We start from the raw sequence: 20,094 nt of genomic DNA, 5'->3' as shown, positions 1-20,094 counted from the left end.
GCTGAGGCAGGCGGATCTCCTTTGGTCAGGAGTTCGAGGCCAGCCTGGCCAACATGGTGAAACCCTGTCTCTACTAAAAATATAAAAAATAGCCGGGTGTGGTGGCGGGCACCTGTATTCCCAGCTACTCAGGAGCCTGAGGCAGGAGAATTGCGTGAACCCAGGAGGCGGAGGTTGCAGTGAGCTGAGATCACGCCATTGCACTCCAGCCTGGGAGACAAGAGCAAAACTCTGTCTCAAAGAAAAAAAAAACTAGCTGGGCATGGTGGCGGGCACCTGTAATCCCAGCTACTCAGGAGGCTGAGGCAGGAGAATCGCTTGAACCCAGGTGGTGGAGGTTGCAGTGAACTGAGATCGTGCCACTGCACTCCAGCTTGGGCCACAGAGCAAAACTCTGTCTCAAAAAAAAAAAAAGAAGCAAGGGCGGCTGAGTGCAGTGCCTCAGGCCTGTAATCCCATCACTTTGAGAGGCTGAAGCGGGAGGACTGCTTGAGCCCAGGTGTTTGAGACCAGCCTGGGCAACACAGTGAGACCCTATCTCTATAAAAAATTAAAAAGCCAGGTGCGGTGGCGCGTGCCTATAGTCCCAGCTACTTGGGAGGCTAAGGTGGGAAGATTTCTTGAACCCAGGACATTGAGGTTGCAGTGAGGGTGCAGTGAGCTATGATTCCGCCACTGCACTCCAGCCTGGGTGACAGAGTGAGACTCTGTCTCAGAAACAACACAAAACAAAAGAGCAGCTAGGGAGAGAAGTAACTATTATTCAGCATCTTAATCATCTGTATGAAGAAGTCAGAAGGAAGGAAGGAGAGAGGGAGGGAAGGAAGGAAGGGAGGGAGCGAGGGAGGGAGGGAGGGAGGGATTTGGGATCTGCAGTTCTGTTAGGTGTTTTGGGGGCACGGTTTTGTTTTTTGTGCAAATCCTGCCTCCTTAGAGCTCCAGGGAAGCTGGGAGCTGGAAGGAAGGAAGGAAGGACGAAGGGAAGGAAGGAGGGAGGAAGGGAGGGAAAGGAAGGAAGAAGGAAAGAAGGAGGGAAGGAGGGAGGGAGAGAAGGAGGGAAGGAAGCAGGGAGGGAGGGAAAGGAAGGAAGAAGGAAGGAAGGAGGGAGGGAGGGGAAGGAGGGAAGGAAGGAAGGAAAGAAAGAAAGAAAGAAGTCAGAAGACTAAAGCTGTGCTTGGTAAGGAACAGCCGTTGCTGGTATTAGCTAGTAGCAGAGGAGGTCCAGTTACTCTGATAGTGTGGACAGTGTTCGTGTTTTGCCTGTGTTCAGACATGATTATGGAGCAGGCTTGTTTTGTCTTGCTCTGCCGCGGTCACAGAGTGGCCTTGTCTGATGTCGGCGTCATGTGAGATTGTTTATGTCCAGCAGGAGGACACCAGGGCCCTGCTTTGACTGCCAGGCCAGCTCCTAGCAACACCAAGGCCAGCTGTGAACACCAGGCCAGCTCCTGTGTCTTTTTCAAAGGTCGAGCTCAGACCTAGCCAGATGGGGGACGCTGGGAGGGCTGGGCTGTGTCTGCAAAGCTCACTGCTGTATCTCTGTTGCCTAGAGCGGGACCCGGCACACAGGAAGCATTCGGGCAAATGCATTGCGCTGTTCCAAGGCTCTTGGGCCTGAGAGGAGGGATCTGCTTATTCATGCAGCAGCAGGCTTTGCGGCCAGTGACCTCTTTCCTCTGCATGTCTGGACCTTGGCTTTGGATTTTTTTTTGTTTTACTTTTTTAGAGATGGGTCTTGCTGACGCCCAGGCTGGAGTGCAGTGGCGTGATCTCGGTTCACTGCAACCTCCACCTCCTGGATTCAATCGATTCTCGTGCCTCAGACTCCTGAGTAGCTGGGACCACAGGCACAGGCCACTGCAGCTGGCTTGGCTTCAATTTTTCTGCTGTGAAAACAGTGACCCCGTGGCTGGGCGCAGTGGCTCATGCCTGTAATCCCAGCACTTTAGGAGGCTGAGATGGGAGGATTCCCCAAGGTCAGGAGTTCGAGACCAGCCTGGCCAACAGGGCAAAACCCCATCTCTACTAAAAATACAAAAATTAGCTGGGCGTGGTGGTGGGTGCCTGTAATCCTAGCTACTTGGGAGGCTGAGGCAGGAGAATCACTTGAACCCAGAGGCAGAGGTTGCAGTGAGCTAAGATCATACCACTGTATTCCAGCCTGGGTGACAGAGCGAGACTCTGACTCTAAAAAAAAAAAAAAAGAGTGACCCCCCCACTGGGGGAGAGGGGAGTGCACAAAGACCCGTGGACCCAAGTCTTTTTTTTTTTTTTGAGACGGGGTTTCACCATATTGGCCAGGCTGGTCTCCAACTCCTGACCTCAAGTGATCCACCTGCCTTGGCCTCCCAAAGTATTGGGATTACAGGTGTGAGTCACTGAGCTCAGCCAGTGGACCCAAGTCTTAAAAGGAGCTGGATGTGGAAGTTAAAGAGTCTCTTGGGGCCAGGTGTGGTGGCACACACCTGTAATCCCAGTGCTATGGGAGGCTGAGGATGGAGGATCACTTGAACCCAGGAGTTCAATGCAGCAGTGGTGCTATGATCATGCCACTGCACTCCAGCCTGGGCAACAGAGCGAGACCCTGTCTCAAAAACAAACAAGAAGAAAAAAAAAAGAGGCTGGGCATGGTGGCCCATGCCTGTAATCCCAGCAGTTTGGGAGGCCGAAGTGGGTGGATCACTTGAGCCCAGGAGTTTGAGACCAGCCTGGCCAACATGGTGAGACCCTATTTCTATTAAAAACTCCAAAAATTAGTGGGGGCGTGGTAGCAGGTGCCTGTAATCCCAGCTGGTTGGGAGGCTGAGGCAGGAGAATTGCTTGAACCCGGGAGGTGGAGATGGCAGTGAGCCGAAATCATGCCACTGCACTCCAGCCTGGGCAACCGAGTGAGACTCTGTTTAAAAACAAAAACAGAAAGAGAGAGAGACAGAGAGGAAGAAAATCACAGGAGTGGACAAGGCCTTTCTTGTGCCCCCTTGTGTTCCATGCTCCCTTGGAGCACAAGAAGAGATCTTTGGACAGGGCAGTGAAACTTACAAAACAGATTCTCTGTTTTCTGCCAGGCTGTGCGGATATAGCCATGAACAAGACAGGTCACCAGCAGGTAACATGGGTAGGAAGTGTCCAGGAGGGTGTGATCGGGTGGGTCCCGTGAGAGGATGACATTCGAGTAAAGGAAGTTAGGGAAGGAGGGAGCCACGTTGGTATCTGGCTCAAGAACATTTCTGCAGAGGAAACAGAACATGCAAAGTTCCTGAGGCAGGAATCTGCTGTAACTTTAAACAACAGGAGGAAAGCAATGCAGGAGAAGAGTAACAAGAGTTGAAATCAAGAGGAAATATTCTGTGAAAGAAAACTGGTTAACATCGAGGCCAGACGCGGTGACTCACGCCTATAATCCCAGCACTTTGGGAGGCCGAGGTGGGCAGATTTCTTGAGATCAGGAGTTGGAGACCAGCCTGGCCAACATGGCGAAACCCCGTCTCTACTAAAAGTCTAAAATTAGCCGGGCACAGTGGCGGGTGTGCTGTAATCCCAGCTATTTGGGAGGCTGAGGCATGAGAATCGCTTGAACCTGGGAGGTGGAGGTTGCAGTGAGCTGAGATCAGCACTGCACTCCAGCCTAGGCAATAGAGTGACACTCTGTCTCAAAAAAAAAAATTCAAACAAACCAACAAACAGACTCGTTGACATCATTAGTCATCAGGAAAAGGCAAAACAAAACCACAATGGGGTGGCACGTCACACCTACTACGATGGCTATCATAATCAAAAAAGGATGTTGCAAGGAAGTGGCGAAATTGGAACCTTTGTGTAATGCTGGTGGGGATGGAAAATGGTACTGCTACTGTGGGAAACAGTTGGGCAATTACTCAAAAAGTTCAACATAGAGTTACAAAATGACCCAGCAACCCCACTTCTAGGTATAGACCCAAAGGAATGGAATCCAGGGACTCCAACTACATATTCACAAATGTTTATAGCTGTACTTATTCACGATCGCTAAAAGGCAGAAACAGCCCAAATGACCATCAGCTGATACGTGGATAAACAAAATGTGGTCCATCCATATGGCGCAATGTTATATAGCTGCAAGTGGAATGAATTTCTGATACATGCTGCAACTTAGACAAACCTCAACACCATTATGCTCAGCTGCACGCAGTGGCTCACACCTGTAATCCCAGCACTTTGGGAGGCCAAGGCAGGAGGATCCCTTGAGTCCAGGAGGTCGAAACCAGCCTGGTGAACATAGCGAGACCGCATCTCTACAAAAGAAAAATTTTAAAAATTGGCCAGATGTGGTGGCGTGCACCTGTAGTCCCAGGCAATGTGGAGGCTGAGGCAGGAGGATCTCTCAGGCCCAGGAGTTCAAGGCTGCAGTGAGCTATGATCACACCACCGCACTCCAGCCTGGTGACACAGCAAGACCCTGTCTCAAAAACAAAAAGCAAAAACCAAAACAACCTATTATGCTTGGTGGAAGAGGCCGACACAAATGGTCACATATTGTATGATTCCATTTGTATGAAATATCAAGGAGGTCGGGCATGGTGGCTCATGCCTGTAATCCCAGCACTTTGGGAGGTCGAGGCAGGCAGATCCCTTGAGGTCAAGAGTTCAAGACCAGCCTGGCCAACATGGTAAAATCCATCTCTACTACAAATACAAAAATTAGCCGGGTGTGGTGGTGCGCACCTGTACTCTCAGCCACTTGGGAGGCCGAGGCAGGAGAATTGCTTGAACTTGGGAGGCGGAGGCTGCCGTGAGCTGAGATCATGCCACTGCACTCCAGTCTGGGTGACAGAGTGAGACTCTGTCTCAAAAAAAAAAAAAAAAAAAAAAAATCAAGAAGTGGTAAAAATACAGAGAGACAGCAGAGAATGCAGATTAGTGGTTGCCAGGGGCTGGGAGGAGGGAGGAATTGAGTGATTGCTTTATGGGAACAGGGTGTAGGGGAGGAAACATACTTTTTCCTTTATTCTTAGTTCTTAGCTGTGATGGATCCTTGCAATGAAAGAATTAAGAAGGGCGGGTGCGGTGGTTCACGCCTGTAATTCCAGCACTTTGGAAGGTCGACGTGGGAAGATTGCTTAAGCCCAGGGCTCAAGGCCAGCCTGGGTAACATGGTAAGACTCCATTTCTACAAAAAATAAAAAATAAAAAGAAATTAGCCAATTGTGGTGGCAGGCACCTGTGGTCCCACCTACTCAGGATGCTGAGGTGGCAGGATGGCTTGATCCCAGGAGTTCAAGGCTGCAGTGAGTTAAGATCGTGCCGCTGCACTCTACCCCTTTTTTGTGGGTAGTTGGTCAAGCTACCATGGGGCAGAATGTAGCAAGCTCTGGGCATCATCCTGGGTCCTCAGGCCCAGAGAGCACACAAGTGGCGGCTTCACATCTACAAATTTGGTTCCTCCCAGAGCGAGGCCCTGTCTCAAAAAAAAAAAAAAAAAAAAAAAAAAAAAATAGAGGCCAGGCGCGGTGGCTCACGCCTGTAATCCTAGCACTTTGGGAGGCAGAGACGGGCGGATCACGAGGTCAGGAGATCAAGACCATCCTGGCTAACACGGTGAAACCCCGTCTCTACTAAAAATACAAAAAAAAAAAAAAAAAAAAAATTACCCAGGCGTGGTGGCGGGCGCCTGTAGTAGTGCCAGCTACTCGGGAGGCTGAGGCAGAAGAATGGCGTGAACCCGCGAGGCGGAGCTTGCAGTGAGCCGAGATCGTGCCACTGCACTCCAGCCTGGGCGACAGAGCGAGGCTCCGTCTAAAAAAAAAAAATTAACAAGGGAAAAACAAATTTATTAACATGTGTACCTTATGTGTACATGGGAGATGCCAAGAGAAATGAGGTGGCTTATATAGCTTATATAACTCCTGCTTATATAGCACCTTCAACATATAGCAGCAAATTTTTGGAGAAGTGACAAGACGAAGGAAAAGGACATTGAGGCCGGGTGCGGTGGCTCACGCTTGTAATCCCAGCACTTTGGGAGGCCGAGGCGGGCGGATCACTTGAGGCCAGGAATTTGAGAACAGCCTGGCCAACGTGGTGAAACCCCGACTCTACCAAAAATACAAAAATTAGCCGGGCACAGTGGTGCACAGCTGTGATCCCAGCTACTTGGGAAGCTGAGGCACGAGAATCGCTTGAACCAGGGAAGCGGAGGACGCAGTGAGCAGAGATGGCGCTACTGCACTCTAGCTTTGGGGACAGAGCAAGACTCCGTCTCAAAAAAAAAGAAAAAAAAAAAAAAGACGTCTCCAGACAAGAGTCTAAAGGTGTCCCTGGTGATCAACCTTTGTCCTTCCTGGTAGAGAGGGGAGGAGGGCACCTTTGTACCTTTAGGTCCTGCTTTGAGGCAAATCAGGGAAGAACAGAGAGCTTTTCCGGTATCAGCTTCATTGATCTCAGCTCAAAATAATCCTACACCAAGGTCGCATATTTCAGAGGGGCATATGCTGGTCTCCTACGGGGGTCTCTCTTGGGGGTGATAAAAATACCCCGAAACTAGCAAGGGGTGATGGTTGTCCAACATGTGCATGTACTAATGTCACTGAATTGTGCATTTTTATTTTTTATTTATGTATTCTAGAACAATTCTTAACGTCCAAAGATAACGTCTTTCCTTAACGTCGAAAGATGCCTTGTTGTGATATTACAGCAGTCATTCCTGCTCACTACGGGCAGGCAGACAGTGCAGAAAAGGTGAAGCACAAAAACTAAAAAGGAAAATCTCTCCTTGAACCACTGCGAACAGGTTGGTGGTTTTGCTTGGAATATTTTTGGAGCGTGTGGGTAGTTGGTTAAACTTAGAAATATATTTTTTTGTGCGTGGGTAGTTGGCCAAACCGCCGTGGGGCAGAATGCAGCAAACTCCGAGGATGATCCAGGGTCTGCAGGCCTGGAGAGCACACACGTGTCGGCCCCACCTCTGCAAACTCTGTCCCTCCCCTACAGCGGACAAAAAGCCGGTCAGGGGGACAAAGGCCTGCGGCCGCGCCTGCGCGCAAGCCTTTGGGGCGCTCCCGGTACCCCGGCCTGGCCCCGCCCCCTGGCGCGGCGCGCCGACGTCGCGGTGACGTCACGGAGTTGCCATGGCGTCGCTGAGCGGCCTGGCGTCGGCGCTGGAGTCGTACAGGGGCCGGGACCGCCTGGTGAGGCAGGGGCGGACCGGGGCCGGAGGTCCTAGAGTTTGGCCCAAGCTCAGAGACTGGGAAACGGGCCAGAGAGGGGACGGGGTCGCCCAGGATACTCCGTCGCAGAGGCCCCGTCCGAGCTAGGCTCAAATGCGGTGCCCTAGCATTGGACATTTATGTATTTATTTATTTTGGCTGGAGTGCAGTGGTGCGATCTCTGCTCACTGCAGCCTCCGCTTCCCGGGTTCAAGCGATTCTCCTGCCTCAGCACTCCCGAGTAGCTGGGACTACAGGCGCCCGCCACCACTCCCTGCTATTTTTTTGTATTTTTAGTAGAGACGGAGTTTCATCGTGTTAGCCAGGATGGTCTCGATCTCCTGGCCTCAAGCGATCCACCTGCCTCGGCCTCCCAAAGTGCTGGGATTACAGGCGTGAGCCACCGCGTCTGGCCAGCGTTGGACATTTAGATAGTTTCTGCCAACCCAACCTGTCTGGACATTGACACACTGGCCAGATTCCCGTGTTTGGACGTTTTGGATCCGACCAGGCCACTGAAGTTGTCCTGAACAATCTCGTGTTGGGATTTGGGATGTTGCAGGGCTCCCCTGTGGCTGGACATTCACTTCCAACCAGATTCCCTATAGTTGGGCATTTAGGTTGTTTCAGCCAACCTAGACCAAAGAACACGCCATGGCCTGGGCCCTGCCATGCCTAAGCAGCGATGGGTTCCAACAAAACCCCAGTTGGTCATTTAGATCGTCTCTGCCAACCCAGCCTGGCTGGACGTTTACATACCAAACAGATTCCCATGTTTGGACATTTAGGATCTGACCGGGCCACTGTAGTTGGTCCCTGGGTTGTCCCAAACAATCTCATGTGGGGATTTAGGATATTGCAAGACTCTCCCTATGGCTGGACAGTTTTTAGTTCCAATCAAGTCCCATATGGTTGAACATTTAGGTTATGCCATCCATGCCCCTGAGTCTGGACTCTTAGCTTGTCCCCACCAGTCTCTTATAGGTAGACATTCAGGTTGTACCAGGCGGTGTACTGGTGGCTAGGCATTTAGATTCCATTCAAATATCTTATGATTGGGGGGGTGGGTTAACAAATCTCCCCCGAGTTGAACATTCAGATTGCAGTGTTTTGCCATTATAATGGGGCTGGAAAGGAATTACAAGTAAAAATAAATAAAACAACAGGAACAAGCAATTTCTGAAAAGCAGGTAAAATAAAGATATAAGGGAGGCCAGGCGTGGTGGCTCGCGCCTGTGATCCTAGCACTTTGGGAGGCTGAGCTGGGTGGATTGTCTGAGCTCAGGAGTTTGAGACCAGCCTGGGAAAAGTGATGAAACCTCGTCTCTACTAAAATACAAAAATTAGCCGGATGTGGTGGTGCGTGCCTGTAGTCCCAGCTACTTGGAAGGCTGAGGCGGGAGAATTGCTTGAACCTGGGATGCAGAGGTTGCAGTGAGCTCACACCTTTGCACTCGAGCCTGGGGAGCAGAGCAAGACTCTGTCTCCAAAAGAAAAAAGATCTGAGTAGTGAAGATGACCTATTTCAGAAGGCTCCACATCACCTACTGAGTAGGTTCTTTCTCTCTAAAGTAATTCTACCAAATTATCCTGTTGTTCACTGGGTTGAGGCCTGATCACCTGTGCCCACCATTCAGCACATCCAAAGGCTTTGGTCCAGGCAGGTAGATGTAAATATACACTTTAGCTGTGGCTTCCTGCCACCTGGGAAAAGAAGGACCTAGGAGGTGGGAAGTAAGGAGCTTTGTTTTCTTTGTTCCTGTCACATCTGTTCCCAAAGGCTGTGCCCTTCAGTTACATCAATGATGTCATGTTTCTTCATTTGTCCCACCTCCAAGTATGTTTTTAAACTTCCAGCTTTTTTTTTCTTTTTCTTTTTCTTTTTTTAGACAGGGTCTCGCCCTGTTGCCCAGGCTGGAGTGTAGTAGCACGATTACAGCTCACTACAGTCTGGAACTCCTGGGCTCAAGTGATCCTCCAGCATCAGCCTCCCAAGTAACCACCATGCCCTGTTAACTTAAAAAAATTTTTGGTAGCCAGGCGCGGTGGCTTACGCCTGTAATCCCAGCACTTTGGGAGGCCGAGGCGGGTGGATCATGAGGTCAGGAGATCAAGACCATCCTGGCTAAAATGGTGAAACCCCATCTCTACTAAAAATACAAAAAATTAGGTGGGCTTGGTGGCGGGTGCCTGTAGTCCCAGCTACTCGGGAGGCTGAGGCAGGAGAATCGCATGAACCCGGGAGGTGGAGCTTGCAGTGAGCCGAGATCGCGCCACCGCACTCCAGCCTAGGTGACGGAGCAAGACTCCGTCTCAAAAAAAAAAATTTTTTTGGTAGACACAGGGTCTTGCTATGTTGCCCAGGCTGGTCTCAAACTCCTGGTGTGAAGGCATCCTCTCACCTCGGTTTCTCAAAGTGCTGGGGTTACAGGTGTGAGCCACTGTGCCCCACCTAAACTTTCAGCTTTTACTGTCACTTTGTAGATTTAGAATCTTCCAAACTCTTGGGTCAGGCACGGTGGCTCATGCCTGTAATCCCAGCACTTTGGGAGGCTAAGGCAGGTGGATCACTGAGGTTATGAGTTTGAGACCAGCCTAGCCAACCTGGTGAAACCCTGTCTCTACAAAAAATATAAAAATTAGCAGGGTGTGGTGGTGGGCGCCTGTAATCCCAGCTACTGGGGAGGCTGAGGCACAAGAATTGCTTGAACATGGGAGATGGAGGCTGCGGTGAGCCGAGATCGTGCCACTGCACTCCAGTCTGGATGACAGAGTGAGACTCTTTCAAAAAAAAAAGAGAATCTTCCACACTCTCAATCCAGCGGGGCCCGGGGCCAGGTATGGGGGGATGCAGCTCAGTTCTGCAGAACAGGAGGGCCACACTGACTGCTTCTGGTTTCCCACAGATCCGAGTGCTGGGGTACTGCTGCCAGCTGGTTGGTGGAGTTCTGGTTGAACAGTGTCCCGCCAGGTCCGAAGTGGGGACACGTCTGTTGGTGGTGTCCACCCAACTCAGCCACTGCAGGACCATCTTGCGACTCTTTGATGACCTGGCCATGTTTGTCTACACTAAGCAATATGGCCTGGGGGCACAGGTAACAGGGTTTGTGGGGCTCTAGGGAGTAGGGTGCGGACCTGAGTGGACATTTTTTAAAAAATTTTTTGGCCCCTCACAGTGGCTCATGCTTGTAATCCCAGCACTTTGTGAGGCCAAGGCTGGCGGATCATGAGGTCAGGAGTTCGAGACCAGCCAGGCCAACATGGTAAAACCCTGTCTCGGCTGGGTGCAGTGGCTCATGCCTGTAATCCCAGCACTTTGGGAGGCTGAGGCGAGCGGATCACGAGGTCAGGAGATGGAGACCGTCCTGGCTAACACAGTGAAACCCCGTCTCTACTAAAAATGCAAAAAATTAGCCAGGTGTGGTTGCAGGCGCCTGCAGTCCCAGCTACTCAGGAGGCTGAGGCAGGAGAATGGCCTGAACCCGGGAGGTGGAGCTTGCAGTGAGCCGAGATCGCGCCACTGCACTCCAGCCTGGACGACAGAGCGAGACTCCGTCTAAAAAAAAAAACCCTGTCTCTACTGATAATACAAAAATTAGCCTGGCATGGTGGCGTGTGCCTGTAGTTCCAGCTACTTGGGAGGCTGAGGCAGGAGAATCACTTGAACCTGGGAGGTGGAGGTTGCCATGAGCCGAGAATTGTGCCACTGCACTGGCAGCCTGGGCAATGGAGCGAGACTCCATCTCAAATAAAACAAACAAAAAAAATTTTTTTTATAGACAGGGTCTTGCTTTGTCATACAGGCTGGAGTGCAGTGGAGTGACCATAGCTCACTGCAGCCTTGAACTCCTGGGCTCAGGTGGTCCTCCCGCCTTAGCCTCCCTGAGTGCTGGGATGGCAGGCGTGAGCCACCATGGGCGTTTTATAGTCTTGTCCCAAAGTGCTCCCTGCGTGGGTAGTTTATTACTTTTAAAAATTTCACTTTCTTCTTTGAGAGGATCAGATGTTCTCATTTTGATTTAAATTTTTAAAAATAGCAAACGTTCACACATTCCAAAGGAGGATATAATTTTAAAAAACCTCCCTCCTTCCTGATCTTCCAGGCCTCCAATTTTTCCCCACAGAGGCAGCCACTGTGGTCAGCTTCTTTTTTTTTTTTTGAGACAAGGTCTCACTCTGTCACTCAGGATGGAGTGCAGTGGCGTGATCTCGGCTCACTGCAACCTCTGCCTCCGGGATTCAAATGATTTTTCTGCCTCAGCCCCTCACGTAGCTGGGATTACAGGCACCCCCCACCATGCCTGGCTAATTTTTGTATTTTTAGTAGAGACGGGGTTTTGTCATGTTGGCCAGGCTAGTCTCGAACTCTTGACCTCAAGTGATCCACCTGCCTCAGCCTCCCAAACTGCTGGGATTACAGGTGTGCGCCACCGTGCCCGGCCCTGTGGTCAGCTTCTTGTGTCTCCTTTGTGAGATTTCCTGTACTCGCATAGGCAAATACATATGGTTTACATAAACAGTGCTTTTTTCACTTAACGGTACAGCTTCGGCATCATTTCTTTATCTTTCTTTTTTTTTGGAGACAGGGTCTCACTCTGTCACTCAGCCTGGAGTACAGTGGCGTGATCATGGCTCGCTGCAGCCTTGACTTCCCGGGCTCAGGTGATCCTCCTACCTCAGCCTCCGGAATAGCTGGGACTGCAGGTGCACCACCACACCTGGTTAATTTTTTGTATCTTTTGTAGAGACAGGGTTTTGCCATGTTACCCAGGCTGGCCTTGAACTCCTGGGCTCAAGTGATCCACCTGCCCCGCCTCCCAAAGTGCTAGGATGACAGGCGTGAGCCACCGCGCCTGGCCACAGATCATTTCTTATCGGTCTAGAAAGAGCTGCGTTCTCAGGACCACATAGTGCTCTGCTATGCAGCTTCGGATTTATTTAATTGGCCTCTGGTTGACGCACAGGGCAATGATTTCTAAGGTTTTGCTATTGCGACAGTGCTGCAGAGAGTAGCCTTGTCCCTGCGGCGTCCCACAGGCGTGCCAGCCTATCTAGAGAGCCATCTTGCCCCCCACGGGATGATCTCAGAGGCTGCGTGGGCCAGCCTCTCAGCGTCCTGCCCCTCCCTGGGCTGCCCTGTCTGTTCTCTCTGTCCTCCCAGGGATCACCTCTCTGAGCCACTTGCTACTCAGGTGCTCCCCGCCCCGAAATCCCAACCCCACCGTGTTCAGCACCACGTGTCCTTGGCCTGATCATCCTATATCATAAGTGTTGCTGTGGGCCGCCTTCCTGTTTTGACACCTATAGCATCCTCCTCCTCCGTGTCTGATTAGGACAGCGCTCTGGTGCATCCCTGAGACCCCTCGTTCCTCTATGCCCTCTGTGGAAGAGCCCTCAGGCAAGGGGTGGAGGCCCTTGCACCTCGAGTGTCCCTTGGCCAGAACAAGAGCCCTGTTTGTTGGGTTCCCGGTTTATATGTCTGCGTTCCTCCCTGCCCTGGTGAGCCTCTGCCCCTCCCCAGAGTCTAGCCTGGACCCTGCCGCTTCTCAGGAAATCCGGGCGGAATGAGCACATTGGGGCGGGGTCCGCCATCCTCAGGGAGGTGGGCAATGTGCCAGGACGCGCCAGGCAGATGAGGGAAGCTGGAGTGAGGTTCAGAGCCCGGAGGGAGGTAGGATCATGACTGGCCAGAAAGAAGGAGAGCAGCATCTGGAATCAGCGGTGGGGGCGGGGAGGAGCTTCCTGGGAAGTCAGAGAGGAGGGGAAGGGTGTGGCAGGTAACAAGGAGGATAAAGGTAGAGGGGGCGGGGCTCCGATGGGGCGGGGTCACGGTGGGCGGGGTCCCAAGGGGGGTGGGGTCCCAAGGGGGCGGGTCCCCCGGTTGGCTGCGGGGCTCCAGTCCCAGAAACCAGGCTTCAGCGCTGGTTTCTACAGCCTCAACTGGTCCTGCCTCGCTGGCTCTAGGCCGTGTGATTAAGAACTTGGGGCAGAGGGTATGGGCACTGTGCAGGACCGAGAGCCCGCGTGTGCATTGCAATTCGAGGGCCTGGAGGCCCATCCCTGCCGGAACTGGGGGCCAGCGGCTTTCCCTGAGAGCCTCAGCGTGGCCGTCTGTAACTTGCTCGGAGTTGAGGGAGGCCATGAGCCTTGCCGCACTGTGCCTGGCGCGTGGTCAGCAGTGGGCGTGCGGTGGCCCAAGGGTTGGCACACCATCTCAGCCTGGTCAGGGTTCGCTGCGGGCCACCTCATGCTCCCTGCATAGAGTCTGGCAACAGAGGTCCCCACCTGTGCAGGAACTGGAAGCCTTTGGGAAGGAAGGCTCTGACACAGGGCTCCCAACTTGGCCTGGGAATCCCCTGGGAATGTGAAAATTCCCTGTGAAAATTCCCGGTACTGGGGCCTGCCCCAGGCTGAGTGAGGCAGAATCCTCACGGCTGGCATTGGGCATGGGGTTTTTGAAGCTCTGCAGAGGACTGCACTGCACAGCTGCGTTGAGAGCCTCCCTCCAAGGGGCACTGAGCACCGTGCTGCCGAGACACAGAAATCAGGCCTGTGCGGGGACCCCAGCCCCAGAGCCTTTCTCCCGCGGGGCCTGCCAGGCCTGGACACGGCCCAGGGACTGGGGTCAGGAAATAGCTCTCTGCCACCTGGCATGGCTACGGTGCTAAAATGGGCAGTGGGTAAGTCTGACCCTAGGCCCCCTCTGCTCCTGGTCCTGCAGGAGGAGGACGCCTTTGTCCGCTGTGTCTCCGTCCTAGGGAACCTGGCTGACCAGCTCTACTACCCCTGTGAGCACGTGGCCTGGGCGGCTGATGCCCGGGTCCTCCACGTGGACTCTTCTCGGTGGTGGACGCTGAGTACAACCCTGTGGGCCCTCTCTCTGCTCCTGGGGGTTGCCAGGTAAGTGGCATGGGCCAGAAGGGAGCACCCAAGGTCCCTGGGCGGTGCCTCCTTAGCAAAGTGGCAGCGGCCCCAGCAACAGCACAGGCTTCAGACTGCGGTGGGTCTTTGCCTCTTAGAGTTTTCCTTGGAGGTTTTGTTGTTTCTTCCTTTTGTGGGTGTATTTGTTTAGAATAACTGTCGGAACAAATTAGCACAACTCTGTAGTGCTGGGCAACAGAAACTTCTTATCTTAGGATTCTGAAGGCTGGAAGTCAGAACACTCCCTGGGCTAGTGTCAGCAGGCGCTGATGCCTTCTGGAGGTCCCAGGGGGAGGTCCGTTTCCTTGGATTTTCCAGCTTCTGGAGGCCACCCACATTCCTTGGCTCATGGCCCCTTCCTTCATCTTCCAAGCATGACCTCTGCTTTCAGCGTCACACCTCCTTCCCTGACCCTCATCCTCCTTCCTCCCTCCTATAAGGACCCCTATGATGACATGGGGACCACCTGGATGATCCAGGGTAATACCCCATCTCAAGATCCTTAGCTTAGGTTGGGCGTGGTGGCTCATGCCTGTAATCCCAGCACTTTGGGAGGCCAAGGCGGGTGGATCACTTGAGCCCAGGAGTTCTAGACCAGCCTGGCCAACATGGTGAAACCCTGTCTCTACTAAAAATACAAAAAATTAGCTGGGCTTGGTGGTGCACACTTGTAATCCCAGCTACTTGGGAGGCTGAGGCAGGAGGATTGCTTGAATTTGGGGAGGTGGAGGTTGCAGTGAGCCGAGATCACACCCCTGCACTCCAGCCTGGCGACAGAGCAAGATTCCGTGTCAAAAAAAGAAAAAATCCTTAGCTTAATCCCATCGGCAAAATATCCTTTGCCTTGGAGGTGAACATGTTGACAGGTTCAGGACATGGACATTTTAGAAGGGGTCATGACTCTGCTGACCACACTTAGAAAGAAGAAGTAACTCCAGGGCCTGTGAGAAGCAGCCAGCGGAGTGGCCTTTACCCGGGTCCCTGAGTCTTGCTGGCGTTGCTGTCAGCCGACACCCCAGAGAAAACAGTCAGCAGTTTCCTGACTAGTTCTGTGCCTCCAAAAAACCATATAGTTTCTAGAACTTTCTAGTAATGGTTTCCTCCCAAACATTTTCCTCTTTGCAAATGCGCTGAGTCAGAATCCCCTGCCCCTGAAAACACCAGCAGGAGCTGGGCCCCCTGGTCTCCATGTTTCAGTGGCTGTGAAGGGCTCTTAGATCGCTGGGGTGAGGTGCGGCTGCCCCCAGCCTCAGGCAGGCTGTGTCCTTTTTCTGGGGGAAGCTTTGCTTGTCCCTGGTCGAGGCTCTGACTCTCAGTAGTTCTTGTTTTCCCCCCGGCACAGATGTCCTAATTACATGCTTACCGTAGACAATCTGGAAAATAGATAAACCTCAGAGTAGAAGATTCGAATTACCCACAATCCAACCCAGACTCCCACTGTTCAAGCTTGGGTGGTTCTTTTCCAGCCTTTGACCTAATACCCTGCCTGTGCATTTTGGCTGTCTCAAAAGGGTCATGTTTCATGGCCATGGCCCCTGGAGGCAGCGGTGTCTGTGCTGCTGGCCTTCCCTGTGTGCTGGGAGACCTGGGGGAGGGTGCCTGGGCCCAGCCTGGATGTTCCTGGGGCTCCGGTCAGAGGGGGGCCTTGGCTCACAGCCTCTCTTCCGCCACCTTCCTCTGGGTGCCTCGTGACCTCTGGTTTGTATTTTAGGGGCAGCCTTGGTTCCTTTCTTTTTTGCTTAAATAAACTTTTTTTTTTTTTTTGAGACAGGCTGAAAAGCAGTGGCTCAATCTTGACCCACTGCAACCTCCGCCCCTTGGGCTCAAACAATACTCCCACCTCAGCCTTCTGAGTGGCTGGGACCACAGGCTGTGCCACCATATCTGGCTAATTTTTGTAATTTTTTTTCTGTAGAGACACGGTTTTGCCATGTTGCCCAGACTGGTCTCCAACTCCTGGGCTCAGGTGATCCACTTGCCTTGGCCTCCCTAAGTGCTGGAATTATAGGCGTGAGCCACCACTCCCGGCCCAGACTTTATTTTTTTAGAGCAGTTTTAGGCTCATGGCAAAATTGAGCATAACGTTCAGAGAGCTCCCATATACCCCCACACACAGCCTCCCCGACTACTGGCAGCATCCACATGGTGCATTTGTTACAACTGATGCCCCTCCATGGATCCATCATCACCCCAAGTGAGTAGCTCACGTTAGGGTTCACGCTAGGTTTTGGGCATCCTATGGGTTTGGACACTGACACGTGTCCCCCCTTGCAGAATCAAATGGAATTGTTTCACGGCCATCGAAGTCCTGTGTGCCCCGCCTGCTGCGGCATTCTTGTTTCGGGCATGTGGTTTTTCATCATTTCTCTGGATTTGCAGTGAGCAGGGGGAGTGGGTGGAGAGCATTCCATGTGTGCTCATCATGACCAGACATCTGCCCTAAGGCCCAGGGCTGCCGGAGCATCAGCCAGGAGGTTGCTAAATGGAGATGCCTGGGTCCGGCGCCCAGGGCTTCTGATTCTTTTCTTGAGACACAGTCTTCCTCTGTCGCCCAGGCTGGAGTGCAGTGGTGCGATCTTGGCTTACTGCAACCTCCACCTCCCGGGGTCAAGTGATTCTCCTGCCTCAGCCTCCCGAGTACCTGGGATTACAGGCGCCCACCACCACCCCCAGCTAATTTTTGTATTTTTAGTAGAGACAGGGGTTCACCATGTTGGCCAGGCTAGTCTTGAACTCCTGACCTCAGGTGATCCACCGGCCTTGGCCTCCCAAAGTCCCGGGATTACAGGTGTGAGCCATCGCGCTTGGCCCAGAGCTTCTGATTCTGTGGGTCTGGGGAGCCCAGGAATCAGTGTTTTTCCCTAGCCCCCCAGGAGGCTCCCACCTGCTGTGCCACTGGCGCTATCCTGCATCCTGCACCCTGGGTACCCAGTGGCCAGAGGAGTTGTGACCAGGCCCTGCCCATTCTGTCACAGTCACAACCCGGCACACCCCACGGCCGAGGCTGGAGAGTGCAGGTGCCTGGTGGACTGGCCCGGGTGGGTGCCATGCACGGCTGCAGAGCCTGCTGGGAGCACAGAGGCTGCCCACTGGGTAGCCCCTTCCTCAGCCTGCAGATGCCAGCCCTGGGGGCCCAGGGGATCATCCAGACAGGTCCAGCCAATGTCCGGGGTGTGTGTGCAGGGGGTGCTGGCATGGCACTGATTTGGACCTTTCCACACAGAGCAGACAAGGCAGCTGAGGCCCGGAGGGGAAACGGCGTCCCCACGCCTGTCCAACTGCGGGCCTCTTGGCATCCTTTTCTGTGTAGGACTCCCTGCCAGGCTGTGAACACCTCACGGGGCTTGATGTTCCTTTGAGCACTTGCCAGTGGTTTGCAGAGGCTGGGCCAGGCCCTGGATGGCCACGTCAGAAGTGCAGGACGATGTCCCGGGTGGGACGGGGCCGTGTTAGAGATGAGTCCCCGGGAGCATGAGGCACAGCCAGGAGGGTGTGGGACTGTGGGGGCAGGGAGAGGGCAGGCCGTTTATCCGAGATGCAGCACCTGTCCCAGACTGTATGTCCGGGGCCAGCGTTGTGGAGCTAACCCTCCTGCTCCCCGCCGGGGCATCCTCCCTCGGGCTCTGGTGCTGCAGGTCCCTGTGGATGCTGCTGAAACTGAGACAGAGGCTGCGGAGCCCCACGGCGCCCTTCACCAGGTAGGAGCCCGTGATCACCCAGCAGGGAGGCCCACTCCCTCCAGCAGGCGTGGGATCCCGGCTCGCAGCCACCCCTGTGCAGGCCCATGCTGGGGACTGTTGTGCTCAGGTCATGGGGGAGTCATCACAGCCTCTGGTGGGTGGCGGTACCTTTTACAGATGGAGAAACTGAGGCTTGCTTGAGCGGGGACTCCAGGGCTGAGCCTTCATGGCTGCGCCCCCAGCAGGAGAGAATGATCAATTTCCCGAAGGCCATGGCCATTGTTACTGTTGCTTTTTCTTTTTGTTTTTTGAGACAGGGTCTTGCTCTGTTGCCCAGGCTGGAGCACAGTGGTGCCATCTTGGCTCACTGCAGCCTCTGCCTCCTGGGCTCAACTGATCCTCCTGTTTCAGCTTCCCGAGTAGCTGGGACTACAGGCACGGGCCAGCACGCCTGGCTAATTTTGTTTTTTATTTTTTGGTGGAGATGGGGTCTCGCCATATTGGCCAGGCTTATCGTCACTGTGTCATCCTGATAAAGAAAGGCCGGGCAGGCACAGGCCACGCTCCTGGGGGTTCCCCCTTCCCTCCACACCTCCCAAAGTGCATTTGTGCTTTCTGTTTTTCACAAGGAATCCCCATCTCTGGGTGTTCAGGACGAGGAGTGAGGTGTGGATTTGAGGACTTGGACCCGGGTTCCTGCCCTGTTCGTGCTTGGGTCGGGGGGGTGATGGGGACTCAGTCTCTGTGGATGGTCAGGGAGGCCACCTCAGTCCTGCCAGCTCCTCCCACTCACAGGCAGGGGCTCAGGGCTGCCAGGCCACACAGGGCATTCAGGGGCTTGGGAAGGGCAGGCAGGTGTGAGCGTGAGTGTAAGCGGCCCCTCTCTGCCCCACAGCCCGCTGCCCCGGGGCAAGCGGAGGGCCATGGAGGCGCAGATGCAGTCGGAGGCGCTGTCACTTCTCAGCAACCTGGCCGACCTGGCCAACGCCGTGCACTGGCTGCCCCGGGGCGTGCTGTGGGCCGGCCGCTTCCCGCCGTGGCTAGTGGGCCTCATGGGCACCATCTCCTCAATCCTCAGCATGTACCAGGCGGCCCGGGCCGGCGGCCAGGCCGAGGCCACTACCCCCTGACACTGCCGGAAGAGCACAGGGACACAGCCAGAGCCCACGGAGGGCCCTTCCCGCAAAGCAGAAGCCGCCAGGGCAGGGGCCGGGGCTCTCATGGAGCTGCCTGTGGTGAAACCCATGGGCAGGGTGGGTGGAGGGACTGATGCGAGGTCCCCCAGGCCTCAGCCTGGAGCTCCTGAGCCGTGACAGTTTTCAGGGGCCGTGCAGGGCTTCAGCAGCACCTCCTGCCTGCCAGCTGGCGTCTTGTATCCAAATCAAGATGAGGAAGAGGGGGCCTGTCGTGCCTTGAGAAAGCTGGAACGGGAATCAATTAAACATTGTGGTGCTGGCGCCTGGCTCAGGGGTGAAGGTTATTACACTGCTGGCTCCTGGCCCCTTACCCTCCACAGGACGGACCCAAAGTTGGAAACCACACTACCCCAGCCCACCTTCAGGAATGCCCTCAGCCCGGTGGGTCCTCTCCATCTTTGAGCAAGCGTTGCCCACGGACCCCAAGTGGCCTCCAGCCATTGAGGGCTGTTCTCTACTCCCCAGAGTCCTGGGCACACAGGCCAGAGGCGCCACCTCTCATCAGGCCACCCGAGGGCGTGGCCTCATGCCACTGTGCTGCCGACGCAGGGCCACTGTGAGCATTTTAAGGGCTCCAGGCTGAGACTGGGCAACACACACTGGCATCGCTGAAGATACTTGGGGCTCCCACCTCAGCCAATGTGTGGTGGGATGGGATGAGGGCACTGCTTAGTCTGCTGGCTGAGAACAACCCTTCAGAGTCTGTGCACATGTGGCCTCTGGCAGACATTGTTGCACAGCCTGGCCCAGGAACACACAACAGCCAGTGTGTGTGCGCCCTTGGGCCTCATGTGATATCAATTGCACTGCCTTGATTTTTATCTTTTTGACCCAGGATCTCTGTCACCCAGGCTGGAGTGCAGTGGTGCGATCATAGCCTCACTGCAGCCTCAAACTCCTGGGCTCAAGGGATCCTCCTACCTCAGCCTCCTGAATAGCAGGAACTACAGGTGTTTATCACCAAATCCAGCTAATTTTTAAACTTTTTGTAGAGACAGGGTCTCACCACATTGCCCAGGCTGGTCTTGAACTCCTGGCTTCAAGTGAGCTGCCTGCCTCGGCCTCCCAGAGTACATTTGTGGTTTGTTTTTTACAAGGAAGATACCAGGTGGCTCT

General features: G+C 53.9%; 2 protein-coding genes across 12 annotated transcripts in view, besides 5 other annotated features; one reads left to right on the top strand and one right to left on the bottom strand.

Moving 5' to 3' along the window:
* The first annotated feature begins 1,136 nt into the window (after positions 1-1,136).
* Positions 1,137-19,239, top strand: PEX11G (peroxisomal biogenesis factor 11 gamma). 10 transcript variants are annotated; one of them, XM_011528428.1, is made up of 7 exons: positions 1,137-1,177; positions 4,992-5,132; positions 6,602-6,766; positions 10,088-10,276; positions 13,903-14,081; positions 17,738-17,800; positions 18,678-19,239. In XM_011528428.1, exons 4-7 carry the CDS (start codon positions 10,238-10,240, stop codon positions 18,910-18,912), a joined length of 516 nt encoding a protein of 171 aa, XP_011526730.1. In that variant the 5' UTR covers positions 1,137-1,177; positions 4,992-5,132; positions 6,602-6,766; positions 10,088-10,237; the 3' UTR covers positions 18,913-19,239. The 10 variants fall into 10 exon arrangements, with proteins under 10 accessions (XP_011526730.1, XP_011526731.1, XP_011526733.1 ...); XM_011528429.3 differs by lacking the exon at positions 1,137-1,177 and adding an exon at positions 1,266-1,465; XM_011528431.3 differs by lacking the exons at positions 1,137-1,177; positions 4,992-5,132 and adding an exon at positions 6,357-6,442.
* Positions 3,077-3,371: a silencer, noted in NCBI's record as "tiled region #6634; K562 Repressive non-DNase unmatched - State 3:PromF". NCBI's record gives its function as "represses a minimal TATA promoter and a strong SV40 promoter by Sharpr-MPRA in K562 cells {active_cell/tissue: K562}" and the evidence as "EXISTENCE:reporter gene assay evidence [ECO:0000049][PMID:27701403]".
* Positions 6,893-7,222: a silencer, noted in NCBI's record as "silent region_9983". NCBI's record gives its function as "represses an Ori minimal core promoter by ATAC-STARR-seq in GM12878 lymphoblastoid cells {active_cell/tissue: GM12878}" and the evidence as "EXISTENCE:reporter gene assay evidence [ECO:0000049][PMID:35858748]".
* Positions 7,273-7,332: a silencer, noted in NCBI's record as "silent region_9982". NCBI's record gives its function as "represses an Ori minimal core promoter by ATAC-STARR-seq in GM12878 lymphoblastoid cells {active_cell/tissue: GM12878}" and the evidence as "EXISTENCE:reporter gene assay evidence [ECO:0000049][PMID:35858748]".
* Positions 11,888-12,409: an enhancer, noted in NCBI's record as "H3K27ac-H3K4me1 hESC enhancer chr19:7548591-7549112 (GRCh37/hg19 assembly coordinates)". NCBI's record gives its function as "activates a minimal SCP1, AML or CMV promoter by ChIP-STARR-seq in naive H9 embryonic stem cells {active_cell/tissue: H9 hESC(naive)}" and the evidence as "EXISTENCE:reporter gene assay evidence [ECO:0000049][PMID:30033119]".
* The window catches only part of ARHGEF18 (Rho/Rac guanine nucleotide exchange factor 18), a 131,053-nt gene continuing 127,083 nt past the window's right edge, over positions 16,125-20,094 (bottom strand). For both annotated transcript variants that reach the window (XM_011527836.3, XM_047438526.1), the window contains one exon: positions 16,125-19,203. The gene's annotated coding sequence lies outside the window, so the exon portion shown is untranslated. The remainder of the gene's footprint in view (positions 19,204-20,094) is intronic.
* Positions 18,633-19,268: an enhancer, noted in NCBI's record as "H3K27ac-H3K4me1 hESC enhancer chr19:7541732-7542367 (GRCh37/hg19 assembly coordinates)". NCBI's record gives its function as "activates a minimal SCP1, AML or CMV promoter by ChIP-STARR-seq in primed H9 embryonic stem cells {active_cell/tissue: H9 hESC(primed)}" and the evidence as "EXISTENCE:reporter gene assay evidence [ECO:0000049][PMID:30033119]".

Source organism: Homo sapiens, chromosome 19 (assembly GCF_000001405.40).
Source record: "Homo sapiens chromosome 19, GRCh38.p14 Primary Assembly".
Classification (NCBI taxonomy): domain Eukaryota; kingdom Metazoa; phylum Chordata; class Mammalia; order Primates; family Hominidae; genus Homo; species Homo sapiens.
This window is presented reverse-complemented; position numbering and strand designations above follow the sequence as displayed.

What these genes read in the sequence shown, in the direction of transcription:
- PEX11G (NM_080662.4), top strand. Translation starts at nt 7,104, where the DNA reads ATGGCGTCGCTGAGCGGCCTGGCGTCGGCGCTGGAGTCGTACAGGGGC. An exon ending in ACAGGGGCCGGGACCGCCTG is followed by an intron (nt 7,164 to 10,087) that starts GTGAGGCAGGGG and finishes GGTTTCCCACAG; the next exon opens with ATCCGAGTGCTGGGGTACTG. An exon ending in CTGCTCCTGGGGGTTGCCAG is followed by an intron (nt 14,082 to 17,737) that starts GTAAGTGGCATG and finishes CTGGTGCTGCAG; the next exon opens with GTCCCTGTGGATGCTGCTGA.